The sequence below is a fragment of the Homo sapiens genome, chromosome 11 (genome assembly GCF_000001405.40).
Source record: "Homo sapiens chromosome 11, GRCh38.p14 Primary Assembly".
NCBI lineage: Eukaryota > Metazoa > Chordata > Mammalia > Primates > Hominidae > Homo > Homo sapiens.
The window spans coordinates 126,512,309-126,532,101 of NC_000011.10; the positions used below are offsets into that span (position 1 = coordinate 126,512,309).

At 51.3% G+C, this 19,793-nt stretch overlaps 1 protein-coding gene across 17 annotated transcripts in view, besides 4 other annotated features; it reads right to left on the bottom strand.

Annotated features, from left to right (window-relative positions):
* Nucleotides 1-19,793, bottom strand: part of KIRREL3 (kirre like nephrin family adhesion molecule 3) — a 580,037-nt gene that overhangs the window by 88,951 nt on the left and 471,293 nt on the right. For 16 of the 17 annotated variants that reach the window (NM_001441257.1, NM_001441258.1, NM_001441261.1 and 13 more), the window contains 2 exons: nucleotides 14,230-14,379; nucleotides 9,007-9,156 (listed from right to left, as the gene is read on the bottom strand). In NM_001441257.1, coding sequence (NP_001428186.1) covers nucleotides 9,007-9,156; nucleotides 14,230-14,379 — 300 coding nt within the window. The remainder of the gene's footprint in view (nucleotides 1-9,006; nucleotides 9,157-14,229; nucleotides 14,380-19,793) is intronic. The other variant, NM_001441262.1, reaches the window with a different exon arrangement.
* Nucleotides 7,528-8,029: an enhancer, noted in NCBI's record as "H3K4me1 hESC enhancer chr11:126389731-126390232 (GRCh37/hg19 assembly coordinates)". NCBI's record gives its function as "activates a minimal SCP1, AML or CMV promoter by ChIP-STARR-seq in primed H9 embryonic stem cells {active_cell/tissue: H9 hESC(primed)}" and the evidence as "EXISTENCE:reporter gene assay evidence [ECO:0000049][PMID:30033119]".
* Nucleotides 11,270-11,769: an enhancer, noted in NCBI's record as "H3K4me1 hESC enhancer chr11:126393473-126393972 (GRCh37/hg19 assembly coordinates)". NCBI's record gives its function as "activates a minimal SCP1, AML or CMV promoter by ChIP-STARR-seq in naive H9 embryonic stem cells {active_cell/tissue: H9 hESC(naive)}" and the evidence as "EXISTENCE:reporter gene assay evidence [ECO:0000049][PMID:30033119]".
* Nucleotides 16,501-17,001: an enhancer, noted in NCBI's record as "H3K4me1 hESC enhancer chr11:126398704-126399204 (GRCh37/hg19 assembly coordinates)". NCBI's record gives its function as "activates a minimal SCP1, AML or CMV promoter by ChIP-STARR-seq in naive H9 embryonic stem cells {active_cell/tissue: H9 hESC(naive)}" and the evidence as "EXISTENCE:reporter gene assay evidence [ECO:0000049][PMID:30033119]".
* Nucleotides 17,002-17,502: an enhancer, noted in NCBI's record as "H3K4me1 hESC enhancer chr11:126399205-126399705 (GRCh37/hg19 assembly coordinates)". NCBI's record gives its function as "activates a minimal SCP1, AML or CMV promoter by ChIP-STARR-seq in naive H9 embryonic stem cells {active_cell/tissue: H9 hESC(naive)}" and the evidence as "EXISTENCE:reporter gene assay evidence [ECO:0000049][PMID:30033119]".

Here is a 19,793-nt window from a genome sequence, read left to right on the forward strand (position 1 = left end):
CCTGCGTGCACCAGCGCATTTGTCCTTGAGGCGAAGCTGTCCATGTGTGTATCCTTATGATTGGCACATAAATGGGGAATCCTGTCAATGGCCAGTGGCCAGCGGGGCTTCCAGACTGAGGATCCCAGTAGGGCACCAGGACAGAGGTGGGCTCTTGCTGTGCTTTTGCAGGCTTGTGGGGATGCTGAAAGAGATACCCAGGCCTGAGGAGCAGCCGTATGAGGGGTAAGTGGGTGAGGGGCCTCCTCCAGGCAGCTGCCCCCCGCATGTTATAGGAAGGGGCTTAGATTTCACTTGCAGCCCTGGAGCTGATGATTCCATGTCAAATGGCAGACACCCGAGGATCGAGGTCCTGACTTTTGCAAATCTCCACAGTCTGAGCTCACTTTTTGCTGAGCAGTTGAGCCTGCTCAGCATCTCCCAGGGTCACGCTTGGTTCCAGCAGCTGAAGGGTATATTATCCTTGCTCTCAGGAGGAAGGGAAGAGGAACTCAGGGAACAATGCCTCTCATGCCCCAACCCCAAACCATGAGCAAATGAGAGAGAATCACAGTCAACCCGTGAAGTGGGTTTAACACTTCATCTCTCCTGCTACTGGCTCCACCATGGAGAGGGCGGGCCCTGAGAGATTAAGCATCATCAGCCCCTGTCTCACAGCTGGATGGTGGCAGGACTGGGGCAGGAGTGAATGCGTCCCAGCTCCCCAGTGAGGGCCGTTTGTCCTGCTTGGGTCTGGAGAGTTTCCAATGCCCTGGGGATGGTGGTGACACACTCCAGAACTTCCCAGGGCTGCCCTGAAGAGCCTGTCTCTTGGTGATGGGGGTGCAGCCACTGGGGCCAGGCAACAGCAGGAGGCTGAACCCCTACCATAAGCAGTAGACCATGAGTGGGCTCCTAAGAACCTCCCCAGCTTCCCTTGTCCTGGTGTTGGGAGCAAAAGATGCTGGGGGGTATGGGGGCTGGCCCTGGGCATGGTCATTTGGGAAGCTACCCCCAGATTTCAGTGGCGAGTGGGCACTTGGATAGGCAGTGTCGAGCTTCTGGGCCCCTCCAGAAATCGCTCATGGTGGCACTGGCTGGGGTAGGGTGGGGCTGTGCATTCCTTGCATCAGGTCTTCTCCTTCTTGGAGAGGCTCCTGCCTGCCCTTCTCCACACTCAGGCAGGGAAGGGAAAAGATGCGCTGAGTTTGCCTCCATCCCTGAGGGATCCTCTCTTCCTCCGGGCCTTGGAAGTCGTTTAATGCTTGAGTGTCCTGCCCCCACCTCATTTCCCAACATGAGGGACGACCCCAGGCTGGGGGAGAGTTTTGACATCCAGCCAGGCTGTGATGAGGATGGGAGATGGAGTGGGTAAAGAGACAGAGGCCATGCCTGCCCATGGTAACATGCAGATTATGGGGGCAGGGAGATTGTGGGGGGCGACCTTGGAGTGCAGCAGGAGGGCAGGGCTGGGGCGACCCGCACACCTCAACTCAATGGCTGCAAGACCTCCAGGGAGACCTTCTATCTCATCTGGCCCCCAACAGCAACTACTCAGCGTGGCATTATGGCATTGAACCCACAGGGTGGACCTCAGGGAGCTATAATATAACTTAGAGGTGAGAGACTATATGTCAGCCTCAGATACCCTTCATGGCCCCCAGCTCTGCTCACTTTATCACCTGCCCAGCAGGTGAGCTCCGAGTTAGATGGGAGGCTAAGGTGGTGTCAGTGGCCAAAGGGAGAAAGAGGAGGGGAATCTGCTTCTGGCCCAGGGGACATGGGGGTAGTCTGGGCTACCAGGAAGGGAGCTGGGAGCGAGCTGGTGGCAGGGGTGGGGTGTGTGTAGGGGGAGCGAGATGTACAATAGCTCCGACACAGCTCCCATGTGGAACCTCAGGAGATAAGGATGTTTTCTGCTCCTGTCTTCCGTCTCTGGCTCGTTTGCTACCGCTATTTGGGGGTGATTGCAGGGTAATGAATGTTGCAGGAAACAGCCACATAGCACAAATGAGATACGGCACTAAGACCAGGCCAGGGCCCAGGCAAAACACGCTTAATAAGCAGATAAGGAAATCAATTCTGCCTTTCTTCCCAGGTGTGCAGCCTGCTGGGAGGGGCCTGCAGGAATCATATCTTCCTGCCTTGCTTGATACATGGGAAAGCTTCTCTAGGAAGCAAAGTCTGATCCCCCGGGATGCAGGGGTTGCTTGTTGGTGTCTCATAACATTGTGCAATAATAGCAATGATGAAAACAGTTATAATACTAGCAGCCAATGCTGCTATGCCTTGCTGCATAACAGGCGCTATTCTGAGACATGTTTTACATATATTATTTCATTAAATCCTCTCTTCAACCCCATGAAAGCAGTTATGATTATTTCCCTCATTTTACACAGAAAGAAACAGGCACAGAGTGGTTAAATAACTTGCTCACGGTCACACCAGTGGCAAAATGATACAGCTAGGTTTCAAGTGCGGGCAATCTGGCTTCCAGAGGCCAGGCGCTTAGCCACATTGCCTCTCCAACACAACACAACACAACACAACACAACACAACACAACACAACACAACACAACAAAACACAATTGTCATCCGTGTTTGGGGCTTACTATCTGCCAGACTCTGTTCTCTGTCGTCAGATTCAGTGTAAACTCCCCCTAAATTTTCCCTAAGCCTTGTTATTTCAATTGCCATGAGGAACATTTACTGAACACCCAGTATGTGATTCTAGGCTGTGCTAGGCATGAAGGATGAAAGATGCTCCCAGGAGACCCGGTGGGGGAAACAGACATGAAAACAGTTACTCTCAACATAGCGTGTCGAGACCTGTAATCAAGGTGCATAAGGAGGCTGGGCGCGATGGCTCACGCCTGTAATCTCAGCATTTTAGGAGGCTGAGTTGGGTGGATCCCTTGAGCCCAGAAGTTCAAGACAAGCATTAGCAACATGGCAAAACCCGGTCTCTACAAAAACAAAACAGAACAAAACAAAAAAACAAACAAACAAAAATTAGCTGGGTGAGGTGGTGCATGCCTGTGGTCTCAGCTACTCGGGAGGCTGAGGTGGGAGGATCGCTTGAGCCAGGGAGGTCGAGGCTGCAGTGAGCCATAATAGTGCCACTGCACTTCAGTCTGGATGACAGAGCAAGACCCTGACTCAAAAAAAAGATGCCTAAGGAAGTGAAAAGGACCACAGGGGGACAGTCAGGCCATGTGGGCTCCAGAGAAGGCTTCCTGGAGGAGGAGTTGTCTGAGGTGAATCTTGACAGCTGAACACAAGTTAGCCAAGGGAAGAAAGGTAGGAAGGGCACTCCAGGAAGAAACACAGTGTGAATGAGGGCCCAGAGGCTTGGTGAGCGGAAGGAGATGCCAGCTGCTTGTTAGTGCGGGAGCAGGTTGGCGGTGGGTCTGAGGCTGGGGACACAGCTGGGGGCTGGCCTCGGGGGGCCTTGTGTGGCCTGGCAGGGAGCTTGGGTTTTGTTCTGTGGGGACACTTTCTCGCCCCTGAAGAACCCCTCAGACTGTCACCTACTGATTTGCCTTTTTATGTCAGGGTGACTATGGATGGGTTTCTTGCAACCAGTTTCTGGAAGAATGGTTTAGAAGCCAGCACCCTCGAGGTCTGTTCCAGCTCTGCCTTCCTTTGCTGGCAGACTCTGAGTTATTCACCACTGTTCTCTGGACCCATCTCCCCAGAAGATTCATGGATGGGAGATTGGGGGAGGCTGCCAACGCGGTGGGCTGAGGAGGCCCTGCAGCTCTGCTGGTAGAGCTGTGGCAAAGGGAGCTTGTGGTTTTGAAAAACAAACTAGTTAAGGACACGTCACAGATTGGACCTTATCTGTTTTCCTCTCTCAGTATTTGGGGCTTGACATCATTTAAAAAGATGCCCTCTTTATTTGAATTGACTTAGTCTCCCTCTTAAATAATTCATGTTGATTTAGGAAGCTTTATTTCTAACGGGAGCCACAAGACAGCAGAGTTAATATTAGAACGGGCCAGGAAGAAGAGGGAAATGAGGAGGGAGACTGGGAAAAATGCCCCTCTTAATAATTAATCTGATGCCAACATCCCCTCCTCCCACTTCTGATCCCCCCATCCTGCTCTACTTTTTCCTTTCCGTAGCATTTATTACCACCTCACATCCTGTACAGCAATGCAATTTATGGTTTAATCCGTGCATCACTTATCGACCGCCTTCTCTCTGCCAGAATGCAAGCTCCACCAGGGCAAGGATGGTTTTCTCTTTCGTTTCCTGATGAATCCCACGTGTCTAGACTAGTGCTTGGCATATAACAGGTGCTCAGTAAACATTTGTTGATCAAATCCTTGGTACCATTTCCTCCCTGCCCTGGATGTCCCAACACCTTGCTTCCCAAGTTTCCAGGAAGTTGAAGAGATCAAGTGTAATGCCACCCTTACAACTCTGACCCTGGGACAGTTTCAATATTTTTCAACCCTGGGATTCCTGTAGGTGGAAGAAGGAGCAGTCTGCATGTATATGTGTACACAACTTTAAAATACAGGCGGGGTGGCTCACGCTTGTAATCCCAGCACTTTGGGAGGCCAAGATGGGTGGATCACTTGAGGTCAAGTGTTCGAGACCAGCCTGGGCAGCATGGCTAAAAATACAAAAATTAGCCAGGCGTGGTGGCACGTGCCTGTAATCCCAGCTACTCAGGAGGCTGGAGCAGGAGGACCCAGAAGGCGGAGGTTGCGGTGAGCTGAGATCGTGCCTCTGCTCTCCAGCCTGGGCGACAGAGCCAGGCTCCATCTCAAAAAACAAAAAACAAACCAAAAAAGTGTATGACACTTCACTGTTAGAGATTGAGAGAGAGAGAGAGAAAGAGAGAGAGAGAGAGAGAGAGAGAGAGAGAGAGACAGAGTGTTTAATGTTTACAACAATTCTATGACATTGGTATTTTTAACCCTCTATTTTATAGATGAAGAACCAGAAACGTCATTCATTCATTCATTCACGCTGGTTATAGAGGCTTGAGCCAAAGAGGCCCAGTTCCAGCCTTAAGGACCTTGCCCAAGGTCACCCAGTTAGTGAGCAGCAAGAGCATATTCTACTTCCTGGCCCAGGGCTCTTCCTACCCCATGACAGCTCTCTCTGCACATGTGCATGGGGGTCCTCTGAAGCCCAACCAAACTGAGTCTTCGGAGAGGGCTAGGTCTATGTGGAAGCTGGCTACAGAGGGGTGGTTGGGGGGGATCCTTTGCAGGGAGGACCAGGGTTTGAGGTCCACAGCCAAGGCCAGGACCCCAGGGCTGAACAGGACTTGGAGAGGTCCTATCTCCCAGCCTCAAAGTGGGATGCTGTTTAAGCCACCCTAATCAGTTTTCTTCTAAGCCTCGGTCACTGCGCCAATCTTGGTTCCAGGGAGGGATGGCCCAATTTCCTAAAATAGTTGGTACAGCATGTTGGACTCCTTACAGTGGAAGTCATGGCCTTTTGGGAGCGAGACAGTTCTCAGCGATCATCTTATTTATCACCACCTCTCATTTTACAGATGAGGAAACTGAGACCCAGGTTGAGAAACAGGGCCACTGTCACACAGCTGGACACTGGTAAAACCAAGACCACTGCCTCTAAGTCTAATGCTGTTTCCGTGACGCTGTGATTCTCCAGATGTTCTGCAGGTGAAAAGACGCCTGTCTTGACCCTGGGCTGAGTCAAGCCATAGTCCTTGGCAGCTGGCTGGGCCACAGAGGGCACGCAGCCTGACCACTGATTGACCTGACCTAAAATCCCCAGTCTTTGCCTCTCTCAGCTTTGCAAACTCAGGCCTTCCCCCGTCTTTCCCTCCTCATTTCCTGGCTCCCTCCTTCTGCCTCCCGAGGTACAAATGCTCAGCTCCGAAGTTGCTCCTTGCCTGATTGCATCTGAGAGCTGGAAACACAACGCTAATTAATGTGTCTGTGACTCTAGGCTTGGCTGCCAGGCCGAGTCCCCATGCCTTCCCTAGGGCCCAGCGGCTCTGCGAGCTGGCCCTCTGGCTTCATCTGAGCACGCTGCCGGCAGATGCATATTTTAACAATGCACATCTGTTGGCTATATAATCTCTCGTATTTGCCCTCCTCACTTGGTACTTCGATGGAAGACCCCCGGGGGCCTCCCTCTGTTCTAGCCAAAGTGTTTGCTTTGCAATTTTGCCGGAATACCATCTGATTCTGCTTTCGCGTCTTCCGCAGGTTCTAATCAGGCTCTTACTTTATTTAATTAAAAATCTATCTCAGGCAAATACAGACTAAATTAGGAAGCTCTCTCATTCCTGGAACACAGGGAAGGCAGCCCCCCTTGGGGAACTGGCTGGGACATTTTCCCGGGCTGAGATGTCACAGCAAAGCAGATGGGGTCTTGGTAGGGAAGGCGGCTGGGCCAAGGAGCAGAAATACCTCTCTCCCATCTGTGGGAACAGCCACTCTCTCCATTCCCCTTCCCCAGACCAGGGGTCCCCTTCCAGCTGGCTGGGTCAGCTGCTGCACTGGGGGCCTCCTTGCAGAGCAGTAGGTGGGGTGCTATACCCCAGGACACTCAGCCAGGCGGAGCCCTGCAAGACCAGCTGGGTTGGGGACCTGGGAGTGTCCCAGGGAGTCAGCGAGGACTGCAGGCAGAGTGCTGGGAAGCACTGTCTTGCCTGGGGTTTTAGTTTGCTCAGGATGAATGGTTTTGGTGGAGCTGCCTGAAAGGCTGATGGACAAGATGCTGGCTGAGGCTCCCTTTCTGGCTCTCAGGAATTTCACGGAGGGGACCCTGCTGGGGATCATGGAAACTTCCTCTGCCCTCCTTCCGCTGATCTCCAGACTTGAATAAAACATCTCCCCCATACAAACCCAGCTCTGTGCCCAGAGGGCGGTGTCAGGCCATGCCACCGGAGAGGAAGGGGGAGCGAATGCCTTTTAGACATGACCTAAGACAAAATCGGGTCTGTTCAGGTTGGATCCTGAGGCCCTGCTCTGAGAAGCCTGGCCCCTCACCAGCCAGACAGATGAGATGCTGCTGGCATCTGGGAACAGGAGACTAGGCAAAGAGCTTGGAGCTGAAAAATCTGGAGTTGATTTTGAAGGTTAATTAAGCTGTGTCACCTCCTGTGAGTGCCTTTGCCTCTCTGAGTTTCCATTCTCTCATCTGTAAAACATTCGAAATAATCTGGACTTTTAATACGTTGGACTTTTTTACGTAACGTAGAGTTGAGAGGAAAGGAAGTGTAATGATCATGTCAGGACTGGGGAAGTCAATACAGCCTTAAGGATGAGATGTGGCTCCACCTATTTTTGGTTCCTGTGAAGTCAGAGGAGTGGACAATGCTCAGGTTCCTGTGGTTCCAGCATCCTCTGGCCCCTCTAGAAGGTGTATGAGTCGGTAGAGGCAGATTCTTCTGAGGATGGAGGGGCTGAGCCATCTCTGAAGATGAGGAGCCTACAACTTAGCAAATCTGTTCTGGCATTTTGCAATCCTCAAAATCAGAAACAATATGAGGCCCTAATTCCTCCTCCTCTCCTCCCACAACCCCCACACCACATGGCAGACTCATTCTCATTTTAGTCACCGTCTTGGGAGAAATGAGAACGGCGCTGCTGCCTTTAATACCCCAATTACTCCTCGGAAGGCCCGCTTCCCGGCCATGGAATCCCAACTTATTTACCCCCGCTGGAACAGGTTTATTTTCTCATTCCTTTCATCGCAGGCCTGGGGAGACTCAAAGGTTGCAGGAGGTTTCTGAGGCTGGCCCCAAGTCCCTCCCCCGCATCTCAAGAAGTCAAGCTCCGAGCTTGGTAAGTGGTCCTCCGGGGCCTGTCTGCTGCACTGCTTGGAATAATCTGCCCTGGTGTCTTTGGCCATGTAGATCTGAAGATAACCTGACATGCTTTTAAATATTTCATCTCTGAGCAGCTGTGTGCTTTAGCTGCCAGGAGAGGAGGCAGCACCCCAGCTGCTGACCCTGTTGTCGAACCTTCACAACAGCTGCTAAGGGGTGGGCCTGGGCTTTCCCACTTCCCTCCTGCACGCGTGCCTGGCACAGACTCACGTGTAAGGGGGCAGCGAGGTGGGGCAGGTAGCCCTGGAGCCCTGGCCAGGAGCCCATGGGCCAAGCTCTTTGCATCTGTGGGCCTTAGTATCTCATCTGGGGTAACAGTCCCTGTCCCACCGAGCAGCGTCAGGAACAGCGGAGGTCATGTGCCTGAAAGAGCCTAGAGAGCTACGGTGAACTGCTTGGCAAATGTGAGCTCTCATGACTTATGTGCAAGGCCTGGTTCTCAGCAGCCTTGATCCTCGGTAACATTTGGCCAGAGGAGGGAGACTCCCGGGACTGAACTCTAAATCAGAACTAGGCGGTTTAAGAGGTCACCGAGCCCATTCCCCTGTCTTCAGGCAAGATGATCCAGGAACGCTGGGCTCCTGGGAACATAAGATGAAGAAAGATCAAGGGGAAAAGTATGATTTGGAATAAGGACCTGAAATGAATTTTCCTAGGAGGGACCTGTCAGCCAGGATTCCCAGGGAGCAATGAGGGGTGGAGAAGTCACGGGGGTCACTGGTGTCCACATGGATACTAGAATCATGGGGAGAATCGGGCTGATTCTACAGAGAAGGTGGAAAGATAGGGCTTTGTTAGCACCGGAGTGGGGGTCAGTTCAGAAAGAAGGGACCCACAGCCTGTGCCACATTCTTCCTGGCACGGAGCCTAGCCTAGATAACGTGTGCAGAGCATGCTTTCTGATGGAATAAATAAGCATGTAGGAGCCCTCATTAGCTGCCTAAGGCACCATCAAACACGCCGGGGTTGGACTGAGTCCGCTGGCATTGGCTGTCTGGTTTACTAGGGAAAGAGCCTTCGCTTGTCCCGTTTGGGTGGGAAGGTGGGCATGGATATTGTGGAAGCAGCAGTGTCTGGAGCCCTGTGGGATGATCCCCAGAGGGGAGTCTCCCCATGTCTGACCAAAAAAATACCCTCTTGGAGCTGAGCCCTTGGTGCTTCACGCAGTGTCCCAGCCCCGTGTGCAGATGGTTCTTACCCAGGACTGTGAGGCGTGCGGGGCGGGAGCGGATGGCGGCCTGGATGGCCTGGCACTCGTACACCGCATCGTCTTGCAGCTCTGCCCTCAGGATCTTCAGGTGGTGCTCCCCTGACAGGTGGTTCCCTACCACCAGGTACTGTGGGTAACCTGTGGAGACAACAGGCAGGTCAGGGAGCTGGGGTGGGGTGGAGGGGACACCCATGACAAAGAGGCACAGAATGGAGGACCCAAGCAGGGGCCATTCTACAAGGCTGGCAGAGCGGGTGATTGCTCAGGGCTCTGATCTCAGTGCAAGGAGCACAAATGCAAGAGCTTTCCCAAGGCATTGAAGGTGTTGGTTCTCTCTCTCTCTCTCTGTATGTGTGTGTGTGTGTGTGTGTGTGTGTGTGTGTGTGTGTGTGTGTGTGTGTGTGTATAAGGGCATTTGGTCTGTTTGTTAGTTTTTGAGACAGGGTCTTGCTCTGTCACTCAGATTGGAGTGTAGTGGCAGGATCATAGCTCACTGCAGGCTCCACTTCCCAGACTCAAACGATCCTCCCACCTCAGCCTCCCAAGTAGCTGGGACTACAGACATGCACCACCACGTCGGCTAATTTTTTTATCTTTTGTAGAGATGGGATCTCACTATGTCACCCTGACTGGTCTTGAACTCCTGGACTTAGGCGGTTCTCCCTCCTCAACCTCCCAAAGTTCTGGGATTATAGGCATGAGCCACCATGCCCGGCCATGTAAGGGTCTTGTTGGTTTCAAGTTTAGGAAAATCGGAGGAGCCACTGTTAGAAAGGAAAGAGGGAGAAGAGATGGAAATGCTAAGCGTGGACAGACACCGCTGGCTTATTATTCTGGAAAGTGGTGTGCTCAGCACTGTGGTCTACCAAGCAGACATGCATTTTGATAAGATAGAGAGGAGAGAGAGAGAGACAGACAGACAGAGAGACCCAGGCTGAGAATTACAGAGAGAAGACAGTCAGAGAGAGAAGGAAGGAAAAAGAGAAATGTTTGGAAAAGGATCAAGAGTGACTTTGCAAAAATTTTGTTTCAGGATGGACAGGAAGTAGAAATCTAGGCCCGCCCTTCCAGTGTCTAGGAACCTTGGGTCACTTTGAGTCACAGTGGACCCTGTCTAGTCATTCCTCCTGTCCCGCCAGAAGCCCCAGGTCCTGGTGACGCACTTATGAAGTGCTCAGGACGCTTAAGAATTGGGGGCCCCTTGTACCATGGGCAATGAATAATAGATAAATAAAAGTTTGAGAATATAAATCATTAATCAGCGTTCCTGCTGCTGTGTAGGGTTGAATATAAATGCCAACTGAAGTTGTGGCTGGCCACCTTAGGCAGATCCTCTCTTTCCTGGGTCTCGGGCCCTACACCTCCCTATTTCTCTTTCCATCCATCTCCTCACTGAGGTCTGCCCTCCCCCGAGTCCCTCAGTGTGTGGATTTACAACTGGACTCCAATCCCCGCTGTCTTTCATCTCTGTCCCGGTTCCCTTCTCTCCTCAGAGGCTGCCCTCGGCTTCCACTCCCCTCTGGCAGCCCCAGGCTGCTCCTCCTTTTGAAGGACCCTCACCACACAGGGAGTGTTCTCAGACGGGTGCTGTAGGAGGATGAGACGGGACACATTCAGCCTTTTAAAGAGAAGATGAGGGCTTAAGCAAGTGAGAGAGACAGAACAAAGACAGGCAGGGAGACCTGCAAGAGCTCGCCTCAAGTATTTCAAAGAATCTCTCAGTGTGGGTTGGGCATGTTCCTGAGCTCCCAAGGGCAGCACCAGCACCAACAGGCAGAATTCACATGGGGAGGTTCTTTAGAATATTCTCAACTGTTTGAGGTATCCAACAAGGATCTGGGATGCCAGAGAGTGTAGTGAGGTCCCCATCACTGGCTGTATTCAAGCAGAGGTTGGATGATCGCCTCTCAGGGATGTTGCAGAGGTGATTTCTACACCGGGTGAAAGATCAGACTAGAGGAGCTTGAAGGCCCCTCTCACCACCATAAGTGAAGGTTCTTCTGGAGGTGGGGCAGGCCTCCCTGGGGGTGGGCTGTACAACGGGCCACCAGCACTTGTTCCTGGTCAGGCGAGGTAGCTGTGATGATCCTCTGCCAGCCTTCCTGGCATGCTCTGGAGTGCTTCCTGTGCAGCTGGGCCCTTCAGACTCATGTCTTCATGGCTACCATCCTCATCATGCAATAAAATGGCCCTGTCCTCCCCAGCTGTGCAGGCCTGGCCAGAAAAGCTCACAAGGCCATCAGCTGCACCCCTGAGAGCACTGCCTCTCCTCCTGCCCACACTTCCCGCCTTCTGCTGGGCTTTGGGAATGAGCCCAGGTAAGTTAAGCTGTCTCCCCCCAGGGCCAGGAGAGGGGCTGGAAATGGGTTCTAGCCCAATCCTCTCCCTGCTGCCGCTGCCTTCCTTGTAGCTGGCTGGCTACCCCCAGCCCCTCCAGCCCAGCCTCTGGATCCCACTATCCTGTGATTAGTCCCTGGTCTCCTGCAGGCATCTTGGCTGGAGCTTCTGTTTCTGTTGTCTTGCAAGCTATCAGCAGCAGGATTTTGCTCTCACGAGCTGCTGAAAACATCAGTGATGGGTTTGTTTGTATTTGCCTAATTAGGCAGTGAGCTGTGATGCTATCCCAAGGACTGGCAGCATCTTTGAAAATCAGACTCAGAAGCATGGATTCTGAGAAAGTTCTAGCTCCTTCCACATTATCATTACTCTCTCTTGCTACTCCCAAAGGAGGCAAAATTACTTAGAGTCTGGGTTCTATAGTCGAATTGCCTGGGTTCCAATGCCAGCTGGATCACTTCCTAGCTCTGCTGTCTTGGGTGAGTTACTTTAACTTCTTTGTGCCTCATAGACTACTTACTATGTGCCAGTCCCCATTTTATGGGGACAATACCAGTACCTCATAAGGTTATGGTGAAGGTTAAATAGGATAATCTATGTAAAGTGCCTGGCACATTGTAAGTAGTCTATAAATGCCAATTTAAATGAAGAGAAAGGTATGTCATAAGGTCAGGTGGCCAAAGAGGTCTTTATCTTTAGAAGGGAGAGAAGACAGAGTATCTGGACCCTTTGGGGTTAACAGGCAGGTCTCATGTGCTGGGATTGGTTATATAGTTGAGTCAATTTCTTTCTCAGTTGTGACTTTGTTTACCTGTCAAACAAAGGGGAAAATCCTTCTTTTCTCCCTCCGGATCGCTGTAGATTTATGAGATAATGTCTGCGAAGTACCTGAGCTTCTTAGAAGAAAAATGTGCTATCAATATGAAGAAGTGCATTTATAAATCATTTTCTTTGACTGGTTATTCCAGCTTTGGTGACTAGAAAAACATTTAGGTCTTCAAGGAGCGTATCATTTCTGGGAGATTCGGGGGGGCCACATGGGTACAGTAGGAGAGGACAGAGATGTAGCAGGCTGAAATCCCACAACCCTGGGCCTCAGTTTCCCTGTAGGAGAGCTTTCGCGGTGTTAAGGGCTCTACAAGTACTTGCTGAATTGAGTTGAGGGCTGTCCTGCCTGTTTCCACATCAGGCAAGCGAGCAGAGTTAATTGAGCATGTAAGTATCTATCATGATTGCCATGATGCTATTTTTGGGACAAGTGACAAAATACAGGGCAAGTATTTTATCAGGAGTTTGAGGTCATTGGCTCTGTATGGAGAGGCAAACCGAGTCAAGCTGGAGAGGACACAGGCCCCAGTTTGTCAGAGGCCATTGTTCTGCAGCCCTAAGCAGGTACCAGTCCTGGATCCCAGAAAGCCATTCATGGCACTGGATGCTAGAGGGTCAGTTATCCATGCTGAGATGACCACCGTATGCACTATCCCTGCTGACCTGAGCCTCCTTTTGGCCACTGACCCAGCAAGACCCCAGTCCCTGACGGAAGTTGGAAACCCACTGACCGGGACCCCAGACAGCCTCCTTAACTAGCGGCAGCGCTCATCCCAGCTCGGAGCCATTCAGTGCATGAACTATTCTAGTTTGGGAAGGTTGTATCATTCCTGGAGTTTCTCTAGGGTAAAGGCGTTCGGAGTCTCTGAAATTGGCTGGTTCCCATAACAGTTAAACTTTATGGCAGCACAGTATATTTTGGAGATGTTTTTGTGTATTTTTTCCATGCTCAGCTGGGCTGCAGCGTTCAAACCTCGTGCCTGCTATTGACCATTGCTATAATGTTTCAATATACATTTTTGGCAAGACATAACTCACATTTAAAAATATTAATTTCCCAACCATCATGTTCCTGAGTGCACTTCGATTTTTATTTTCCTGCAGCTGTACACCATGCGAGAGGCAAAGTTACTTCTCAGCTGAATAATATTTTTCTCTCCTCCTCCACCCTTAGCTATTCCCAAATCACAGGGGAATGACACCCAGAGGTCCCTGCTTGTGAATTTTACTGTGTACGCCAAGCCTAGCAAACAACCACTGCCTACCTGTAGGACAGAATAATGATAGCTGAAGGGTGTGTGACCAGGGGGATGAGCCATTCTTTTTTTTTCTCCAGGGAAGAGGATGGATTGGAAAAGCGTCTGTATGGTCTTATGGGATCACTATTCACAATAGTTAACAAATGATCTGTTGTCAGCACTGGCCAGTGAGTTCACGTGTCAGCCATCAACAACCATGGGAACTCTCACTGCCTGTCCCAGGGTAGCTTTGCTGAATACCAGCCTGCCCAAGCCGAACATAGTTGGAAATTTATTTTTAATACTTCCTGTCTTTTCTTCCCATCTCATGATGGCTCCTAAGATCAACTAGGTGTCTTTGTGAGTTTTCAGTTTACTTGGTTCCCTTTAATGGGTGAGAAGCCTGGAAGAACCAGGTTGTGACTTGTATTTCCTTAATAATTGTGCCTTAATAAATGGGGGATACATCTTGGGCCAAGACACAGGAACACTTGATTTCTGGAAACTGGAATTTACATGAATCATGTTTGACTTTGGAGTAGGTGCTTGAGGGCAATGTCGAGTTAGGTTAGGACCCACCGCTAGAAGGAGGGTTTGCTTATGGTTCATTATGCACATCAGGGGCCCTCAGAGTCTAGGGATGCTGGGTGCAGTGCTTGCCTAGCCTGACTCTGCCTGAGGAGTTGCAGTGAAAGCTAGAGATTCGATACTCAGACACCTGTGAAGATGGGTGCTCCCTAGGAAGGTGGATGGGTGAGTAAGGAAGTGATGGCCCCAGGCCCACCCCAGGAGGTCTGGAGGTACTCACTTGAGAGGTCCCTGCCCACACCCAGAGCCAAGCCGTCCTTGATCCACAGAACGAAGCCATCGTATTCGGGGATGGCGCAAAGTAGCGTCACTGGCTGTCCCGACACCACCACCTGGTCCTGGGGCTGCTGGCTGAAGGAATAGACTTGGCCTGGGAAGGAGACAAACACAATGGTCAGTTATCTGCCGGCTACAGGGGCGAGAAGGCTCCCCTCCAGCTATGGAAGCAGAGCAGGGCTGGCGCAGGAGACTGAGCCTCCTGAAGCACCTGGCTTTCCTGCTGAGGGTCTGGTAGAGCTTCCTAACTGGTCTCAGCCCCAGCTCTATTCCCTCCTATGGGGGCCTGGCTCCCAGCTCCAGCCCCTCTGCCCATCAGTCCCTAACACATGGACTGGTCTAGCCACACCCCAGCTCCCTATGGGCCATCTCCCTCCACCTTTGGGACGTGCCACTTCCCATGCATTGGTGAGCTCCTACTTAATGCCATGTGCTGGGCATGCAGTCCCACACCAGGGCAGAAACAGGAGAGAGAGAGAGAGACCTCTAGCTAGAAACATTCTGTGGTGGCTGTGTGTTAAGAAGGGGGTCGATGGAGAGTGGTGCGGCTTTGGTTAAACCTGAGAATTCAGGAAATCATTTTGTTGTTTCAGTGGCTCCTGGGGTGGGCTGAGGGCCAAGTTCAGAGGGGTGGGTGGTGGTGCAGTATGGCAGGAGGTGTGCTGAGGAGGCGTGCCATCCTACCGTGTCCTCCCTGTCCCTTTCTTTTCTGCAGCAGACCTTACTCCAGCCTCACAATCACTTGGGAAAAAATCATTATGGACACCATGCCTCCTCAAAACGAGATGGCCAGAATCATCGAAGAGAGTCAGTTGACATTATTTTATTAAACAAACCCATCCACAATGCTTACAAGATGCCATGCTCTGTTTTGAGGCTTTAAAATATTAGTTCATTAATATTTTCATCGTCATAACAACCTAAAAATAGTAGGCACTATTTTTATCCCCATTTTCCAGATGGGAAAATGAGGCACAGGGAGGTGAAAAATAGTAATGGGAGCTGTGCTTGTGAATTGCTCACCAAGTACGGCGCATGCCCTGACTCTAGTTATCACCGTGGCAACACTCGAATGGGGCATTGTCAACCCCATTTGACAGGACTTTGGGAAACGGAGGCTCAGGGTTAACTGAATTGCCCAGGGAACTGTCTAGTGGGAGTTGGGGTGGGTGGTGCGGTGAATCCAAGTCTTTCTGGCTCTGAAGACCATGCTCTCCCCTACTGAGCTATGCTGTGTGCAGATCCCCAAGCCTGGCCTTGGAGGGAGTTGCTGATGAAGAGGTGTGATGTGATCTGTGTCTCCTGGGAGTCCACAGTTGAGTGGACAATGGAACATTGACATTCGCTGAGCATCTGGCCCACAGTACAACCAGTACTTCATACAACCCCTCCTGTAATCCACTTAATTATACTTCAGGGCAGAAAAAGCCCCACTTTACAACAAAGAAACCAGGATCAGAGAGGCACAGTAACCTGCCCAAGGTCACGCAGCTAATGAGTGTTAGAGCAGGGGTTTGAGCAGGGGCCCATCTGCATTCCAAGCCCTCCCTTTTTCCTACCTCCTGCTCTACAGACCCAGACCTAACCGAGGCAAAACTGGACCTGGCGCTCCAGCTGCTGATGCTGTGGCCTCTCCTCCCCAACCCGGGAGAGTCAGGGGCAGCCACAGACGTCCTGGACACTGGCTGCTGCCCATCTTGGGGACAAAAAGCCCCAGGCTTGGGCCACACCTAGGACTGAGCTCTCAGCAACAGATGACCCCAAGAGGGAGACACTTGGTGTGTATCAACCCAGGGGAGCTTGGATGGCAGCAGAGCTTGGGGTGGAGGCTCCCCAGAAGGAGGGGTGCAGATTCACAGTGGAGAGCTGGGGACAGGCAGGAAGGTGGCCGAGTTCACAACCTGACAAGATCTTGGCAGGGTCTCCGAGGAGTCTCATTAAAAATCAAATTGGCCTTGAATTGTGGGAGTAACACTTTTTATTCTGATTTGAGCTTTACAAATTAGATTTCATAGGACATTTTAATCAGCTATGTATGGTAGGTTTTTTTTTTCCTCTCTGTCTCTTCAAGTTCTCTGTTGTAATTAGACTGTTTCTGGCACCAAAACAGGGTAGAAAAGGAGGGAAGAGATGAGAGAGGAGAAGGGGAGAGGAGGGAGGGACTGGAGAGAGAGCAAAGGAGTGAAGTGAGGACGTGGGAGAGAAGAGGAGAGGGAGAGGAAGAGGAGGAAGCAGGGGAGGAGGGTGAGGGGCAGCATGGAGAGGGAGGGGGTGGGTGGAAAGGACTCCTTCTCTGGCTCCTTTTACTCTAATGATGATTTCACAGCTCATCCTTTTATCTCAAAATCTTTCTTACAAGAAGGACAGAGTCAAGGCAGCTGCAGTAACTGCCAAAGATTGTGCTATCAGAGAGAATTATCAGGTTGTCAGGTGGACGTGGAGGGGGTTATAATGAGAGCCCCTTAAATGAAGCAGTGCCCGAGCCCTCTGAGATGTCCATTATTAGGAAGCACCCACAGTGGGTAACCGTCCCGGTCTCTCCCCGTCCTGTGTCCTCTTGGAGGAAGGCGCGGGAGGTACTGGGTGAGGGCCCCCGGGGAAGTGGGGTGCAAGAAGCATCCGAGGGCCAAGGGTAAGTTGTGGACCGGCTGGAGCCCCCAGGGAGAGGAGGGGGCTATCACCATGGAAACCAGGCTCTGGAGGAAGGCAACGCTGGGAAGGGGGATCAGTTGAAGCAGGCCATGGAGGTGGACTCTGAGTGGCCACAGACCCTTTTGGTGGGTGTCTCAGAGCCAGGGGTGGCAGCAGGCACAAGATGCCTGGAATAAGACCTGGGGTCTGTAGGAAAGGAGCCTGATGGGATGGGGCTGAGCGGGAGAGGGCCTTTTGAGGGGGAGCATCTCCCGATGCCATCTGAGCAGGCTTGGAGGTGTAGGATCCCACAGGTTGCAGTGAGCCAAGATCGCCCCACTGCACTACAGACTAGGTGACAGAGTGAGACTCGGTCTCAAAAAAAAAAAAAAAAGACCTTCCTAGAGCCTCTCGCATTCTGTCTGCTTGATCCACTTGGCTTTTCTATGGAAAGACTGTTTCTGGGGAAGATGAGTACACAGGAAAAATCCACCCAAAGGACATGATTTACAAATTATTATTTTTGGGGATGGGAGACAGTACTCTAATTGACAATGTCCCTTTTCAGTCCAATTTTAATTTTTGCACATTACATTTGAGTCACTATAATTACTTTTCTCTTTTAAACCAATGAGTTTTTTTTTTTTTTTTCAAATGAATCTTAAACTGTTACTGAGTATCTAGAGTGGATAAAAGTTGAGGTGCTTTGGATGAAGGTGGAGATGGAGGGATGGAACCCACTTTTTTTTTTCATCCATCTGACAGACCTTAGGGCCTCTCCTTTGGGCTCAAGAGCCCCTCAGAGCACAGCTTTTGAGCCATGGATGTAAGTTATTGCCAGAAGAATGCTCCTCACCCACCCACTCTTTCTTTTCTTTTGAGACTGAGTCTCACTCTGTCGCCCAGGCTGGAGTTCAGTGGGGCAATCTTGGCTCACTGCAACCTTTGCCTCCCGGTTCAAGTGATTCTCCTGCCTCAGCCTCCTGAGCAGCTGGGATTACAGGTATGCACCAGCATGTCCGGCTGATTTTCATATTTTTAATAGAGACAGGGTTTCACCATGTTGGCCAGGCTGGTCTTGAACTCTTGACCTCAAGTGATCCTCCCACCTCAGCCTCCTGAAGTGCTGGGATTACAGGCATGAGCCACCATGCCTGGCCTCTACTTGCTTTATTTTCCCCATTTTCTTTTCTACTCCAAAGAAGTGAAATGCAAGTGAGCCCAAGGTCATTTTCTGCAGCCTCCTGGATAGTGCCTTAAGTAGACAGTGAGCTCCTGAGAACCTGTTTCTTCCACACACACACTGACCGGACCCTGCTGTGAGGCAGGCACTGTGCTGTCTGGTGAGGAGCAGGGGAACAGGCCTGGCCACCCCTCCAGGAGCTCGCAGCTGTGCCCCCTCCCCATCACACCTGGGCGTCTCAGATGGAGCACAGAGTAGGTGCCTCACAGGCTCAGGTCCTGCTCTCAGTGGAGATGTGACACACCCAGCACCTTCCACCGGCCCAGGGTTTCCATCTTCTCCGCTTCGCATTTTCCCTGATGATGTTCCCCTGGTGTGAAGCCTTGGCGGCCGGTGCAATCTCCCCTTCCCATACTTTATTTTTATTTTTCTTTTTTTTTTGAGACGGAGTCTGACTTTGTTGCCCAGGCTGGAGTGCAGTGGTGCGATCTCCGCTCATTGCAACCTTTGCCTCCCGGGTTCAAGCGATTCTTCTGCCTCAGCCTCTTGAGTAGCTGGGATTACAGGCACTCACCACCATGTCTGGTAATTTTTGTATTTTTAGTAGAGACAGGGTTTCACCATATTGGCCAGGCTGGTCTCGAACTCCTGACCTCATGATCCACCTGCCTCGACCTCCCAAAGTGTTGGGATTACGAGCGTGAGCCACCATGCCCGGCCCCATGCTTTGTTTTGAGTCTGTCACCATCACTGAGCCTAGCCCAGCAGGCTGTACATCTCTCAGACTTCCCCTTTCCTCTCTATTCCCACTGCTAGCACCCAAGTTCAAGCTCTCGTTGCCTCAACCTGGGCTCTTGCCACAGACTCTGAATGTTCTCTTTGCCTGATCCATTAATGTGCTGAACCTGGATTTTCCGTCTTAATTCACCACTTGCTTCAGGGTTCCCCTCTTTTAAGGGGTGGGACCTCTCATGGCTCTCCACTCTCTGCGGGACAACGCCCAACTTCCCATGCTGGATTCTAATCTCCAAAATCCAGCTCCTTTTCTTCCTGGGAGCTCCACAGCACCCCCGTGCTGGCTAGTCACTAAGGTCACCTGCCTCGAGTTCTCCTCGATGTTTCATTGTCCTGGGATGCACTGCATCCCCCCACCCAAGGCTCCCCCACCCAAGGCCCCCCCTAAGCAACCCCACCTATCATTGAAGGCCCAGTTCTCTCCCCAGGCAGCTCCTGTGACCCAGATGGAATCTTCTTTTTTCTCGTCTTCTCTCTATATTCTCATCTTGCCTCTTTTTCATCAATTTCTCCAAACCTTTATTGAGCACCTACTATATGTCAGATGCTGATGAAACAGAAATAAGGAAGAAACAGTGTACACTTCTTGAGGGCAGGGGCCACAGCTATCTTTTCTGTCTTGTGTTCCCAGCTGTGGGTGAGCACCGGTTACACGTCTGTCACATGTGCCTTTGTACTTAGAGTTTGCCTGCTCTGGTTGGTCTGCTGAGATCGGTGGTCACTACAGGAAAATTGCTTTTGCATTATGAACTACTAACCCGGCAGATACTGTTCAGAGCACACCACACAGGAGAAAGGTGAGAAATCACAGGGTGGGCTGGAGTCTCTAGGAATCAGGCTTGACAGGAGAAAAAAATAACTGCTGTTCATGGAAGATTTACTTGATGCCACATCTTTGG